At 47.5% G+C, this 13,387-nt stretch overlaps 1 protein-coding gene and 1 long non-coding RNA gene across 7 annotated transcripts in view, besides 9 other annotated features; one reads left to right on the top strand and one right to left on the bottom strand.

The window, feature by feature from the left end:
- Positions 1–4,231: 4,231 nt before the first annotated feature.
- UBAC2-AS1 (UBAC2 antisense RNA 1) lies at positions 4,232–8,615 on the bottom strand. 2 transcript variants are annotated; one of them, NR_036531.1, is made up of 2 exons: positions 8,224–8,615; positions 4,232–5,660 (listed from the first exon to the last, which is right to left on the bottom strand). It is a non-coding gene; the product is annotated as a UBAC2 antisense RNA 1 (long non-coding RNA). The 2 variants fall into 2 exon arrangements; NR_036532.1 differs by having other exon boundaries at positions 8,496–8,613.
- Positions 7,685–8,338: an enhancer, noted in NCBI's record as "NANOG-H3K27ac-H3K4me1 hESC enhancer chr13:99852081-99852734 (GRCh37/hg19 assembly coordinates)". NCBI's record gives its function as "activates a minimal SCP1, AML or CMV promoter by ChIP-STARR-seq in primed H9 embryonic stem cells {active_cell/tissue: H9 hESC(primed)}" and the evidence as "EXISTENCE:reporter gene assay evidence [ECO:0000049][PMID:30033119]".
- Positions 7,685–8,350: a biological region, named in NCBI's record as "NANOG-H3K27ac-H3K4me1 hESC enhancer GRCh37_chr13:99852081-99852734".
- Positions 7,971–8,100: a silencer, noted in NCBI's record as "silent region_5468". NCBI's record gives its function as "represses an Ori minimal core promoter by ATAC-STARR-seq in GM12878 lymphoblastoid cells {active_cell/tissue: GM12878}" and the evidence as "EXISTENCE:reporter gene assay evidence [ECO:0000049][PMID:35858748]".
- Positions 8,301–8,350: an enhancer, noted in NCBI's record as "active region_7929". NCBI's record gives its function as "activates an Ori minimal core promoter by ATAC-STARR-seq in GM12878 lymphoblastoid cells {active_cell/tissue: GM12878}" and the evidence as "EXISTENCE:reporter gene assay evidence [ECO:0000049][PMID:35858748]".
- Positions 8,339–8,990: an enhancer, noted in NCBI's record as "NANOG-H3K27ac-H3K4me1 hESC enhancer chr13:99852735-99853386 (GRCh37/hg19 assembly coordinates)". NCBI's record gives its function as "activates a minimal SCP1, AML or CMV promoter by ChIP-STARR-seq in naive and primed H9 embryonic stem cells {active_cell/tissue: H9 hESC(naive and primed)}" and the evidence as "EXISTENCE:reporter gene assay evidence [ECO:0000049][PMID:30033119]".
- Positions 8,381–8,470: an enhancer, noted in NCBI's record as "active region_7930". NCBI's record gives its function as "activates an Ori minimal core promoter by ATAC-STARR-seq in GM12878 lymphoblastoid cells {active_cell/tissue: GM12878}" and the evidence as "EXISTENCE:reporter gene assay evidence [ECO:0000049][PMID:35858748]".
- The window catches only part of UBAC2 (UBA domain containing 2), a 185,651-nt gene continuing 180,975 nt past the window's right edge, over positions 8,712–13,387 (top strand). For 2 of the 5 annotated variants that reach the window (NR_026644.2, NM_177967.4), the window contains exon 1: positions 8,712–9,425. Coding sequence is in view for 3 of the 5 variants with exons in the window: in NM_177967.4 (NP_808882.1) it covers positions 9,270–9,425 (156 nt within the window). In the remaining 2 variants the exon portion in view is untranslated. The remainder of the gene's footprint in view (positions 9,426–13,387) is intronic. The other 3 variants (NM_001144072.2, XM_011521082.3, XM_011521083.3) reach the window with 2 other exon arrangements.
- Positions 8,991–9,070: a silencer, noted in NCBI's record as "silent region_5469". NCBI's record gives its function as "represses an Ori minimal core promoter by ATAC-STARR-seq in GM12878 lymphoblastoid cells {active_cell/tissue: GM12878}" and the evidence as "EXISTENCE:reporter gene assay evidence [ECO:0000049][PMID:35858748]".
- Positions 9,644–10,295: an enhancer, noted in NCBI's record as "H3K4me1 hESC enhancer chr13:99854040-99854691 (GRCh37/hg19 assembly coordinates)". NCBI's record gives its function as "activates a minimal SCP1, AML or CMV promoter by ChIP-STARR-seq in primed H9 embryonic stem cells {active_cell/tissue: H9 hESC(primed)}" and the evidence as "EXISTENCE:reporter gene assay evidence [ECO:0000049][PMID:30033119]".
- Positions 13,279–13,378: an enhancer, noted in NCBI's record as "active region_7931". NCBI's record gives its function as "activates an Ori minimal core promoter by ATAC-STARR-seq in GM12878 lymphoblastoid cells {active_cell/tissue: GM12878}" and the evidence as "EXISTENCE:reporter gene assay evidence [ECO:0000049][PMID:35858748]".

Genomic DNA, 13,387 nt, shown 5'->3' on the forward strand with positions numbered 1-13,387 from the left:
GGTAAGAGGATAAGGAGATTAGGCAGCCTCATTTCCTTCTTTCCACTAGAAGGAGCCTCTGTAAAAGCTGAGGCTGCACCCACAACCTGGGAAAGGTGCAACCGGTCACACACCCGGTGACAGGCGTGTCAGCAAACCACAGAGCGTGGCGGAGGGGGAGGGCAGCCAGGCTAAGTGTCCAGTGTTTGTAAAGTCTACACTTCTGCACAGTAACATCCTAAGCCTTCACATTCACTCACCAATCACTCGCCTACTCACCCAGAGCAACTTCCAGTCCTGCAAGCTCCATCCATGGTGATGGACGGTGATGGGCTATTTCCCCAATGTAGAAAGCAGATTCAAAAACAGATTCAACAAAACATAGCAAGGCACCTGCCCTCTGCAGGTGGACCATTTTTAATCTTTTATATCATATTTTTACTGCACCTTTTCTGTGTTTAGATACACACATACTTACCATTGTGTTACAATTGCCTACAGCATTCAGTACAGGCCCATGTTGTACAGGTTTATGGCCTGGAAGCAATGGGTTATATCATATAGCCTAGGTGTGTGGTAGGCTACACCCTCCAGGTTTGTGTAAATACACTCTGATGTTTACATGGTAACAAAAATGTCTTGCCTGGGACTAGAGGTAGGAGAATAGGGAGATTAGGAAATTCAGGCTTACTGCCTTCTTTTCACCTGTAGGAGATGCTACTGGTGTCCCAACTGCATTCTCTTTGCCCACCCTGGAAGTAGTACCTAGCACTTCAGTGGCAATTCTCATATAAGCACCCATGTCTCTCTGCCTGAGGGCTTTCTCTGGATACAGGGGTGTGCTTGGCCCATGCATAGAGCAGGCTGAAAGTGCCCAGGGGCTTATAACCCCCAGGAGAATCTCCTACTTGTATCTGAAACTTTTGTCTCAGAGTCTGCTTTTGGAGAGACCCAAATTGAAACAGATGGCAATAATATGAAATATTTTTAAGAATCTGAGTGATGAAGTTTAATGAAGTTCTAATTCTTTTAAAGTGTCTCAAATGTTCTGTTACATTTTGTTACTTTGCAGTAATTGTTCCACTGCACTGAAATCCTTTTCACCCAAATATGCAGCTGGAAATACTATAATAAATAACACAGCTCCCATTTTAAAGGAGGGCAAAGCTGGGCACGGTGACTCACGCCTGTAGTCCCAGCCTTTAATCCCAGCACTCTGGGGGGCCTCAGCAGGAGGATCACTAAGCTCAGGAGTTTGAGACCAGCGTGGGCAAAATAGTGAGACCCTGTCTCTACAACAAATAAGATAATTAGCTAGGTGTGGGAGCATGCACCCTGTAGTCCCAGCTACTTGGGAGGCTGAGGCATGAGGATTGCTTGAGCCCAGCAGGTCGGGCTGCAGTGAACCATGATCATGCCCCTGCATTCCAGCCTAGGTGACGGAGCGAGACCCTGTCTAAATATATATATGTATATATCCCACAGTTCTGGAGGCTGGGAAGTCCAAGATCAAGGCACCAGCAAAGTCGGTGTCTGGTGAGGGCTGGCTCTGTTTCCAGCTGTGCCTTCACATGGTGGGAGCGCAGAACAAGTGCCCTCAGGCCTCTTTTATAAGGGCACTGATCCTGTTCATGAGAGCTCTGTCCTCATGACCTAATCACCTTCCAGATGACCCACCTACCAGCACCACTGTACTGTGGGTTCCCTTTCAACATATGCATTCTGAGGGACACAAGCATTCAGACCAGAGCAACATGTAAAATGGAATAGGCTCCAGACCTGAAAGAATACAAACAGGCTTTTCACCCACATAATAAGCATGTGGCAAGATAGTCAAAGGTGGTTAGAATCGAGAACAATCTGGTTTTTGTGCAGCATTGTCTGCCACTATTGGACCTCATGTGATATCTCCCAATTCATTGTCGACAACCAAAAATACCCTATGAATTTCCAAACTACTCCCTGCTGAGTAAACATCCAAAGTGAAAACTACTGGATCATTGAAAAGATTTAACTACTCTTTTCAAAGATTCCAGACCCACTTTCTTTCTTTTTTATCTTTTTCTTAGAGAAGGGGGTCTCACTCTATGCCCAGGTTGGAGTGCAGTGGTGTGATTATGGCTCACTGCAGCTTTGAATTCCTGGGCTCAAGCAATCCTCCTGCCTCAGCCACCCAAGTAGCTGAGACTACAGGTGCACACAACCATGCCTGGCCAGTTTTTGAAATTTTTTATCTGTAGAGGTGAGGCCTTCCTATGGTTTCCCAGGCTGGTCTCAAACTCCTGGCCTCAAGGGATCCTCCTACCTCAGCCTCCAAAATTGTGGGATTACAGGTGTTAGCCACTGTGCCCAGCCCTGTTTTCTAGTATTAGTTTATATGTATTATATGTTGAAAGTGGATTTGAAGCAGTGCAAAGTGCATCTGAAGCCTATTTTATCCAAGGATTGACCACCAACCCTAGTGATTATCTACTGATTTCCCAGAAGGCTGCTGCCGAGAATCTCTGGAGATTCGGAGATGGATTTCTCAGCCACAAAGTGGAACAGGATATCACCTCTATGCTGGGGGGACAGGAGATACCGTTTGTACACAGCTCGATACTTTGGAAGTTTGTGATTGTTTGTTGTTTTCGGCCTTCTCCACTACTTAGTAATTTTTAGGAAGAATTTCAGTCTATCTCAGCTATTCAGAAGGAGCACTGTACTAAAGGCAGGTGAAAGCAAGGGGAAGGTGGTTGTTCGGGATGCTTGGCCAACCATCTTCCCTCCTGCCTGAAAAAGACTCTCTCCTTTGACCAAAACTCCAGTCAGGCTTCTCTGAGTCCTCTGCTTGACTAGGCCCAATCTTGGACTTTTCTCTCTGTCCTTGCAGAGCCCAGTGTGAGCAAGAATCCTGCTAAGTGGGTCTAGTGAAAAGCCTCTACTCTTGGTTGACCACCCTTGTTATCTGATCTCCCTGGCCTGCCTTCAGCAGGAATCCTATCAGGTCTGTTTAGACAGAAACCCCCTTATCCTTGGGGCTTCCTCTTAGTAATTTTCCATGCGCTGCTTTCCACCCTGCTCCTTGATTATAAATCCCCACCTGTCCTTGGTAGAGTTGGTGCTGAGTTCAATTTCTCCCCACTGCAAAGCCCTGCAGTGCCCCTCTACCTATCACCATGGCCCCCTGGAATAAAGTCTGCTTTACCATCTGATATGGTTTGGCTGTGTCCTCACCCAAATCTCATCTTGAAGTGTAATCCCGAGGTGTCTAGGGAGAGACCTGGTGGGAGGTGACTGGAGCATGGGAACAACCATGCTGTTCCCATGATAGTGAGTTCTCATGAGATCTGATGGTTTTACAAGGGGCTCTTCCCCCTTCACTCGGCACTTCTCTCTCCTGACACCTTGTGAAGGACGTGTTTGCTTCCCTTTCTGCCATGGTCGTAAGTTTCCTCAGGCCTCCGCAGCCATGTGGAACTGTGAGTCAATTAAAACTCTTTCCTTTATAAATTACTCAGTCTTGGCCGGGTGTGGTGGCTCACACCTGTAATCCCAGCACTTTGGGGGGCCGAGGCGGGTGGATCACCTGAGGTCAGGAGTTCGAGACCAGCCTGGTCAAAATAGTGAAACCCTGTCTCTACAAAAAATACAAAATTAGCCAGATGTGGTGGCGGGCGCCTGTAATCCCAGTTACTAGGGAGGCTGAGGCAGGAGAATCACTTGAACCCGGAAGGCGGAGGTTGCAGTGAGCCGAGATAGCGCCAGTGTACTCCAGCCTGGGCAACAAGAGTGAGACTCCATCTCAAAAAAATGAAAAATAGGCCGGGCGCGGTGGCTCACACCTGTAATCCCAGCACTTTGGGAGGCTGAGGCGGGTGGATCACGAGGTCAGGAGATCGAGACCATCCTGGCTAACATGGTGAAACCCCGTCTCTACTAAAAAATACAAAAAAGAATTAGCCGAGCGTGATGGCAGGCGCCTGTAGTCCCAGCTACTTGGGAGGCTGAGGCAGGAGAATGGCGTGAACCTGGGAGGCGAAGCTTGCAGTGAGCCGAGATTGCGCCACTGCACTCCAGCCTGGGCAACAGAGCCAGACTCCGTCTCAAAAAAAAAAAAAAAATTAATTAAAAAATAAATCAATAAAAAAATTACCCAGTCTTGGGTATTTATAGCAGTGTGAGAAGAGACTATTGCACCACACTGAACAAGTGTCATGAATAATTTTTTCTTTAACCTTACCCACCTGGAGATTTTCCTGATGCTAAGACCTCAGAAATGCTGTTTTATTTTATTGAAGGAGGACAATGGCTTCACATCAGAATGAGCAGGATACAACATTTTGAAAGACACATTCCCTGTTTTTTATGGGCTCACCCTTTCACAGTAGAAGACAGAAACCCAATAACAGAGACAATGGCATAAGTATTATAAAGTAGGCATGCATCAAGTGTGATGACAGCACGAAAGAGGGGATAACTACTTCTGCCATTACAGTCTGGAAGAGGTATCATTTCAGCTGATATTGTGGCAAAGTATTTTACCCAGCAGAGGGAGTATCCACTCAATGATGTTCTTAAAGTACCTAGGTAGGAGTGCTAGGCAGCAAATGATTCTCTTAATGTGTATGTCCACACATTGTTATGTGTAAGTAGCCTTATTAATTTGGTTGTAAATAAAAGGTTGAGTAATAATAAAAATGAAATCACCAAATTCTACAATTTGACCTCAAAATATGCTGTAAGTTCTGATATTATTCCTACTTTACCTGGGAAGGCAGAGCGGTTACCTAGGAAGGTGAACTGTGGAAGTCCGCTGTGGATTGGGGATACCTGATCTCATGATGAGTCAGGCTTACCCTGACTCCTTCTGGGTCTCTCTGGTGGAGACAGCCCTTCACCTCTGCAAAGCTTATCCACGTGTCTGGTGATTTCCTTATAGCATACAGAGCTTTTAAGGTTTACAAACGTATACCTATTTCCCCAATGTAGAAAGCAGATTCAAAAACAGGTTCAACAAAACATAGCAAGGCAATAGGTGATTCCTAGAGACCAACAGATTGAGTTCTTGTAATAAAATCTAGAAAAGAGAAAAGGTGGAAATGTCAGCCAGGGCAACAGAAATGATATGCACCAGGAGATCCAGGAATTCATAGTAAAGGTCAGATGAGTTTCACAGGTGTAGGGTTTCCTCTACCTCTGCACTACTGACAATCCAGGCGGGGTAATTCTTTACTGTGGGCAGGAGGAGGGGGGAGGTTGGCCCGGTATTGCCAGATGTTTAGCAGCACCCTTGGCCTCAGCCCATTAGATGCCAGTAGCACCCTCTCCCCAGCACGTTGTGACACCCAAAAATGTCTCCAGATATTGTCCCCTGGAGGTCAAAATTGTCCCCCTGCGAATCACTACACTAGTGCATCTCAGACTCTAAGGTGCACACAAATTACCTGGGGTGTCTTGTTAAACGCCAGTTCTGCTTTAATAGGTCTAGGGTAGGGCTTGGCACTTTCTAGTGCAAACAAAATCCCAGGTGAGGCTGAAGCTGCCTGTCCACAGACCACACTTGCTCCTTAGAAGACAAATCTGCAGCCACCAGTTAGCATGTTCAGGTCCTCAGGATGCAGAGTAGATGTACAATCAAGGTATGGATCACTGCAGATACTTATGAGCAGAGTCTGGATGCCATACCATCTTGCATTTAGCTGCAAAGAATGTTTATAGAATTGAACGTAAGTGAAGGGTTTATGTTTTTTAAGCTTTAAAGCACTTTTTAATGTCGGTTCTCAAACTTTTTGGAATCCCTTTATTCTTAGAAATTATTAAGAACTACAGATCTTTAGTTTATGTGGGTTTATACCTATGAGTATTTACCATAGTAGAAATTGAAACTGAGAAATGTAAAAGATATATATGAAGTTCATTAAAAAAAATACCCATTACATATTAACATATCTAACACTTTTTAATGCAAAATTACTATACTGTCCCAAGCAAAAAAATATTGGAAGAATAGCACGGTTTAACATTTTGGCAAATGCATGCACGTATGTATGTATGTATGTATGTATTTATTTATTTATTTTGAGATGGGGTCTCTCTCTGTCCCCCAGGTTGGAGTGCAGTGGCACAACCTTGGCTCACTGCAACCTCTGCCTTTGGGTTCAAGCGATTCTCATGCTTCAGCTTCCTGAGAAGCTGGAACTTCAGGTGTGCACCACCACACCCAGCTATTTTTTGTACTTTTTGTAGAGACAGGGTTTCGCCACGTTGGCTAGGCTGGTCTCAAACTCTTGACCTCAAGTGAACCGTCTGCCTCAGCCTCCCAAAGTGCTGGAATTACAGGCCTAAGCCACTGTGTCTGGCGGGCAAATGTCTTTAATGTCTGGTTCAATAGAAAACAGCTGGGTCCTCATATATGCTTCTGCTTTCAGTTTGTTGGGATACATTGCTTTGGTTGAAGCATATGAGGAAAACCTGGCTTCACCTAGATACACCCCCACGGTTGGAAAAGGAAGCATTTTAATAGCCTTTCAGGTGATACATTATTTTTTGATACTATACGATAACTTAGCAAGTGGTAGTTTCTTAAAGGTTAATTGCAGTGAGGAATCTGAAACCATATGAATGAACATTTTGGACTGTTACACTAAAGTTTACTGGTGTATTTTATGGTTCAAATTAATCTTTTACCCACATAAGATTTCATAACATTATGCATCGGTCAACTGGAAAATCCAGTTATGTAGCTCTGTACAGTGGAAAATCCAGTTACGTAGCTCTGTACAGTTGTCCAATTGTACAATGGAAAACTCCACTATATACTTGAGAGAGTAGAAAATAAAACTAATGTCTTAGCATTATTATGAAAATAGTTTTGGACTTTGCATCCCCTTAATGGGTCAGGGTGTAGTCCATCAACAGCTTCTGCAAACATAAAGGACCTTTTGACTGTCGTTTTCCTGAAAAATAACTCGAACGAACCTAAAGGTAAATGTAAAATGTACTTCAAGACTGTGAAAATGGGCTGGGCCCAGAGGCTCACGCCTGTAATCCCAACACTTTGGGAGGCCAAGGCGGGCGGATCACGAGGTCAGGAGTTCGAGACCAGCCTGACCAACATGGTGAAACCTCATCTCTACTAAAAATACAAAAAATAGCCAGGGTGGTGTCAGGTGCCTGTAGTCCCAGCTACTTGGGAGGCTGAGGCAGGAGAATCGCTTGAACCGGGGAGGCAGAGGTATCAGTGAGCCGAGATCGCGCCACTGCACTCCAGCTGGGGAGAGCGAGACTCCGTCTCAAAACAAACGAACAAAACAAGACTGTGAAAATGAACTTTACGAATAAAGCCTAAAGAAGCAAATAAAAGTCATACTTTTGCCTTCTATAATCAGTGTTAACATTTTGGCCCACTGGAACCTCTCTTTGAGGGTAGGGACTGTGTTGATCTACGAATCACAGATTTAGCACACTGGCTGGCACTTATGAGCACTGAAAATGCTTTTTTTTTTTTAGTACTCCATAGCCTATCCCTTTCATTTAGCTGGGTAGTGTGGTCAATTTTCCCCATAACATGCGTTCTCACATAATTGCATGTATTTCTGGGGTACAGTGTGATGGTTCCATACATATACACATTGTGCAACCATCTAATCAGGGTAATTAGCACATCCATCACCAAAACACTTGTCATTTCTTTGTGGTGAGAATATTCAAAATCCTCTCTTCTAGCTATTTTGAAGTTAACATTATCGTTGAGTATAGTCATCCAAACGTGCAAGAGAATACCAAAACTTATTCCTTCTAACTATAACTTTGTGTCTGTTGACCAACCTCTCCCCATCTTCCTCCCCACTAACTCTCCTCTGTACAAGAATAACCACTCTTTTACTCCCTACTTTCACGAGATCAACTTAAAAAAAAACTTTTTAAAACGACTGCATGATATGTTTTCAGGCTCACACATTTAAAAACCGTGACTTTGGCAAAGAGTAACTTCATTCTGCTGGGGAAAAAAATTTAAATGGCCTGAGTCCGGAAGCTCGCCAGGGCAGAAGCGCAGGGTCGCTCCGCCGGGCTCGCCGGGCCGGGGACCCCCCAGCCACCCGCCACCACGGCGGGGAGGGCAGGGTGCTGACTCCAGGGACCACGACAGTCGGCCCCGGTGGTGGGGATTCCGCGCGGGACCCACGCGGGAACAAAGAGGCGGCTGGACGGCCCAGCTCTCCGCACCCGGAAGGACCTGTTCCACCTCTCCGGCTCCCGTACCCCTCTATCCGCATCTGAGTGACCAGATCCCACTGCAGTCAACAGCCCGCGGGGTAGCCAGCTTCGAGGGACCGCCCGGAAAGACACAACGCGCGTGGAAGGCGCCGGGCGTCCAGTCTCGGGAGAGATTAGAAGTGGCGCTCCTGCCCAGCGCCGGCAATCCAGGGGAATCCGCGGCCATCGCGGATCCACCAGGGGTGAGGCGGCACTGAGCACAAGTGTGAGGCTCTCGGGAGCTACGCCTCCGCTTCCCCAGTGCCACCCGTTTTTACCTCAGGCGGTTCTGACCGCCATCGTTTCAACCTGGAGAGGTGAGCCCTCCCCTACCGACGCACTTCCCTTCCCCGGCAGGAAGGAGGGCGCTGACCCAGCGGGCGCACGCCCCTGACTGCGCATGCGCCGGGTGCGCCGTTCGTCAGCGGCGAGTGGCCTCGCGGCGCCGGATTCGTCGCTCCGCCAAGAGTGCGCCTGCGCGGTCGCTGGGGCTCGCACTTCAGCTTCCCCTCCCCCGGCGCCCTCTGGGGCTCCGAGCCCGGCGGGACCATGTTCACCAGCACCGGCTCCAGTGGGCTCTGTGAGTACCGGCCTCCGCCATCCTGGCTGCCCCCTACACGCCACCCTAGGCACCTCTTTGAGGAGGCTGGGGCAGCGGGGACCCTCGGGTTTGCCGGAGGTGGTGGGGCCGACCCTCCAGACCCGCGTCCGAACCCTGCTAGTTCCCGGTCTTGGGGGTCAGCGGAAACCGCCCCCATTTCGGCCTGGAGGGGCGAATGGGGACAAAGCCCCGCCGCCCGCCCCGACCCCACCTGGTATCCCCAGGTGCTCTGCCCAGGAGTCTCTTGGGGCCGCTGCAAGTGGGCAGGTGCCCTGGTGTTCTCGTGGGCCGGCCCCAGGCCCTTTGCGGAGCGTGTGCCGCGCTGAAGGAAGGGGCCGTCCCCCTTACCATGCCCCATTCTTTTAGGCTTGGGGGACCGAACTAACTCCCCCCGCCCCCACTTGCAAAGTTCAGCCTCCGCTTTAGAAGCTGACCTCTCAGTTTCACTTGGATGTGTTTCTTCTTCAGTCTCCAAGAAGAGTTTTTAGACAAACACACACTGATGAGAGTGCTTTCAAGTGGAGGGAAGTTAGGAAGTCGTGGCGAGGGAGCGCAGCTGTGCTGCTGGATGTTGCTGTTTTCCTGGCGTGTTAGCGGTGGTCAGCAGGTAGGGGGCGGAGTATTTTTACAGCCAGTTAAACGGCTTTTCTCACTGAGTGTGTGGAATTGACTTTCGGTAAGGTAGACTGCGTGTTAACAGTTAGGCACGGGTACAGCAACGGAGAACAGCTCTAATTTTGCAATTGCTTGTCACTGTTCATACTCCATGTGAAGTTAATGCTGCTGGAGGACAGAAACATCTGACATTTCCAAATATTAAAGATCTGTTGGCCGGGCGCGGTGGCTCACGCCTGTAATCCCAGCACTTTGGGAGGCCGAGGTGGGCGGATCACGAGGTCAGGAGATCGAGACCATCCTGGCTAACACGGTGAAACCCCGTCTCTCTACTAAAAACACAAAAAATTAGCTGGGCGTGGTGGCGGGTGCCTGTATTCCCAGCTACTCGGGAGGCTGAGGCAGGAGAATGGCGTGAACCCGGGAGGCGGAGCTTGCAGCGAGCCGAGATTGCGCCACTGCACTTTGGCCTGGGCGACAAAGCGAGACTCCATCTCAAAAAAAAAAAAAAAAAAAAAAGATCTGTTGGGAATGTCATGAATCTTCTGAGAATGTGTGTCTCGTCTTATAGTCTGACAGTGAGTTAGTATCAGCGCCACAGGCATAATTTTAAATCTTCCTCACTTCTCAACTTCTCAGGTTTTGAAGTGGTTTCAATATTTATGATTTCCTTTGTTTCATAATTAATTTGATTTATGGCATCTTTCATGGATTGGTCCCGGAGTATGTTACAACTACTAAGTAATCTTCCCCAAACTACCCTTTAGATAAAGAGCATTAGGACTGTAGCTGAAGCTGACAGTTCAAGAAGGCAATGTGGTTTTCCTGGGATCACACAGTGAGCCAGGAACTACTGGTTATGAAATTAATGGTGGAATTCTTCAATTTCAATTGTTCTTTAGCATTTTGATCTATCCTTGCTGGCCAAAGTACATATAAAAAAATAAAGGGCAAGAGAAATCTTATTGGTTGCTGTACTGTATTAGCCATGAGATTATATTGGCCAAGTGTATTCAAATTTGATACAGGGCAACTGTGGGGAAGATAATATTTTGTTATCTATGGCACATGGTGGTGAGTGTTGAATTCTAGGAACCAAACTGTTGCCCAGGGAGAGGCGTAGGTCTGGAGCCCCTCTGCAGCTGTCTTGGCCTGTTTCTAAAATTAAGTGCTTCTGCAGTGTAAGAGTTGTTGGGATGGCCGTTCCTCAGAAGGCTGTGTCTTACATGCTCATTTTACAAACATTTTGGGCATCTCCTCTGGGCGATGAACTGGGCTAGGTGCTGGGAATGCAGCAACGAACAGGTCCTGGTCTCAGTGCTTACAGTGCTGACGGAGCTTAGGCACAGTTTTCCAGGACTGGTCATTAGAAAAGGCTGTGTGTCAGCTTTAACATTTTTCTCTGGAGAAGCTACCCACTGAGGGAGAAGTGATTTCCTTTGTTTTATTTTATTTATTTATTTATTTATTTATTTATTTATTGAGATGGAGTCTCACTGTTGCCCAGGCTGGAGTGCAGTGGTGGATCTCCGCTCACTGCAACCTCCGCCTCCCGAGTTCAAGCGATTCTCCCGCCTCAGCCTCCCAAGTAGCTGGGATTACAGGTGCCCACCATCACACCTGGCTATTTTTGTATTTTTAGTAGAGACGGGGTTTTGCCATGTTGACCAGGCTGGTCTTGAGCTCCTGACCTCAAGTGGTCCTCCCGCCTCGGCCTCCAAAAGTGCTGGGATTACAGGCGTGAGCCACTGCCTATGATTTCCTTTAGATAAGTTGAGGGACCCTTTAGCAAATCAAAATTCTGATCCTGAGCAAGAATCTGAAAGAAGGACGACACGTGTACCTAGCCCTACCCCCATGGGTGGTGAATAACAGTCCCTTTCCAGGGATAAATCCCTGCCATTTTCTACCACCTGCATGTTTCCCACGTTTTGTGGTTAGTAGATAATAGTATTTTAGTGTTAAACTTGCCTTTCTCTCTCATCCATTCAATAAGTGTCTGTTGGGTACCCATATCAGCCACACACTGTTGATATACAGAGGATAAAGTAATAAGCAGGATCAAGGAGACCAGCATCAAACAGGCTAACAAGTCAGTATGATTCACATAGTGATAAGTGACATGAAGACAATGAGAGGGTAACTGCAAAGACCGAAGTTATGGTGGAGGACCACTTTAGCATGCATGGTCACGGAGGGTAGCCGGGAAGGTGACATTGAGCTGAGGCTCAGATGGTGTGAAGGAGCAAGCCATATCAGAGTTTGTTGAAAACTCTTCATTTTGAAGAAAGGGGACAGCAATACAGTTTCAGACACAATGCAGTTGAAAACACCCTGCCATGCCTGTTTCAAGTGCTTGAAACTATATTGCTGTCTGCAATTATGACCGGGTAAAAGTGCGTAGGATTAGTGATCATGACTTATTTTAGGTTCCTTACTTGTAGACCAATGCTGTCACTCAGCTCTACGTTGAGTAATATGTGTATCATTCACTGCATTTATTAATAAGCTCCTATTTACCTCACAGTATGTTTACTGTGTAATGATGGACTCAGTCAACATTAATTGCATGCCTAATATTTTCCAGGTATAGTTCCCACCCTCAAGGAGTTCACTGTCTATTGGGGCAAAACTTTTTAAAAAAGAACGTTTGTCCTCGGTGCTGTGGGTTTATTGCAGGGGGTAGGCTGGTTGTGGGGAGGCACAGTTAAGGAAGACTTCCCAATGTAGCAATATTTGGGCTGACTTTTGAGAGTTTGGCAGGCATCATAGTGTGGAGAAGGCCTCTGGGAGGGACAGAGCCTGGACAGGGCTTGGCAGAGAGGCAGGAAGCAATGAATTAGGGGTGGTTATGGCTGGAGTGAGCAGTTCGTAAGAGATGTGTGGTGAAGTCTTTCAGAGGACAGTGGAAGGTGAGACAAGAACTAGGGACAGAACTTGTGAACATTTTAAACTTTAAAGAGGGAGAAGAGTAGGTGCCAGGGAAGAAAACTGAGGAATGGCCAAGGAAGTAGGGGGACACCCGGGAGGAGACAATTTCAGGGGAGAGTGGCTGATGGCATTACACGCTGCAGAGATTTTCAAAACGGGCCTGAAGCGCGACCTGTGGGAAAGAAAGAGGCCCCCCCAGAACCTTTCCAGAAAAGCTCATCCAGTAGTTGGGGAGAGAAGTGAGATTATAATTAGCTGAGGAATGAGTGAGGAGTGAGTGGGACATAAATGGAGACAGTGAGCTTGGAAAGTGCTTTCAAGATCTCGGTTCTGAGAATCAAGAGAGTGAGTTGTGGTTAGAGGTGGCCGCAGGTGTAAGGGGGAGTTTCGTTTCCTTTTTTTTTTTTTTTTTTTTTGCGACGGAGTCTTGCTCTGTCGCCAGGCTGGAGTGCAGCGGTGTGATCTCAGCTCACTGCAACCTCTGCCTCCTGGGTTCAAGCAATTCTTCTGCCTCAGCATCCTGAGTAGCAGGGACTATAGGTGTGTGATGCCACACCCGGCTAATTTTTGTATTTTTGCTAGAGACAGGGTTTCACCATATTGGCCAGGTTGGTCTTGATCTCCTGACCTCGTGATCCGCCCGCCTCGGCCTCCCAGAGTGCTGGGATTATAGGCGTGAGCCACTGTGCCCGGTTGGGGGAGTTTCTTTAAGTGGAGAGGAGGCTTAGCTTGTTTAAAAGGTGTTGGGAAAAACCCAGTGGGAAGGGTGTGGTTGAAGATACAGACAGGAATGAGTGATAGGACTGAGTTGTGAGGAGGTGAGGATCCGGGGCCCAGGGCAGGTATGCTTCTCATTGCTGTAGGAGGGAAGAGGAGGGGTTACTCTTGGTCACGGAGCGGTGGTTGTCAAACGCTGCTCCTGTCCCAGCTGCAAAAAAATCAATCACGGTGTTTTCTGAATGTACACCTTCCTGGGTCTCCTCCCCAGAGGGTCAGATTCAGAAGAGCTAGCATGAGTGTCAG

This window comes from Homo sapiens, chromosome 13, assembly GCF_000001405.40.
Source record: "Homo sapiens chromosome 13, GRCh38.p14 Primary Assembly".
Classification (NCBI taxonomy): Eukaryota; Metazoa; Chordata; class Mammalia; order Primates; family Hominidae; genus Homo; species Homo sapiens.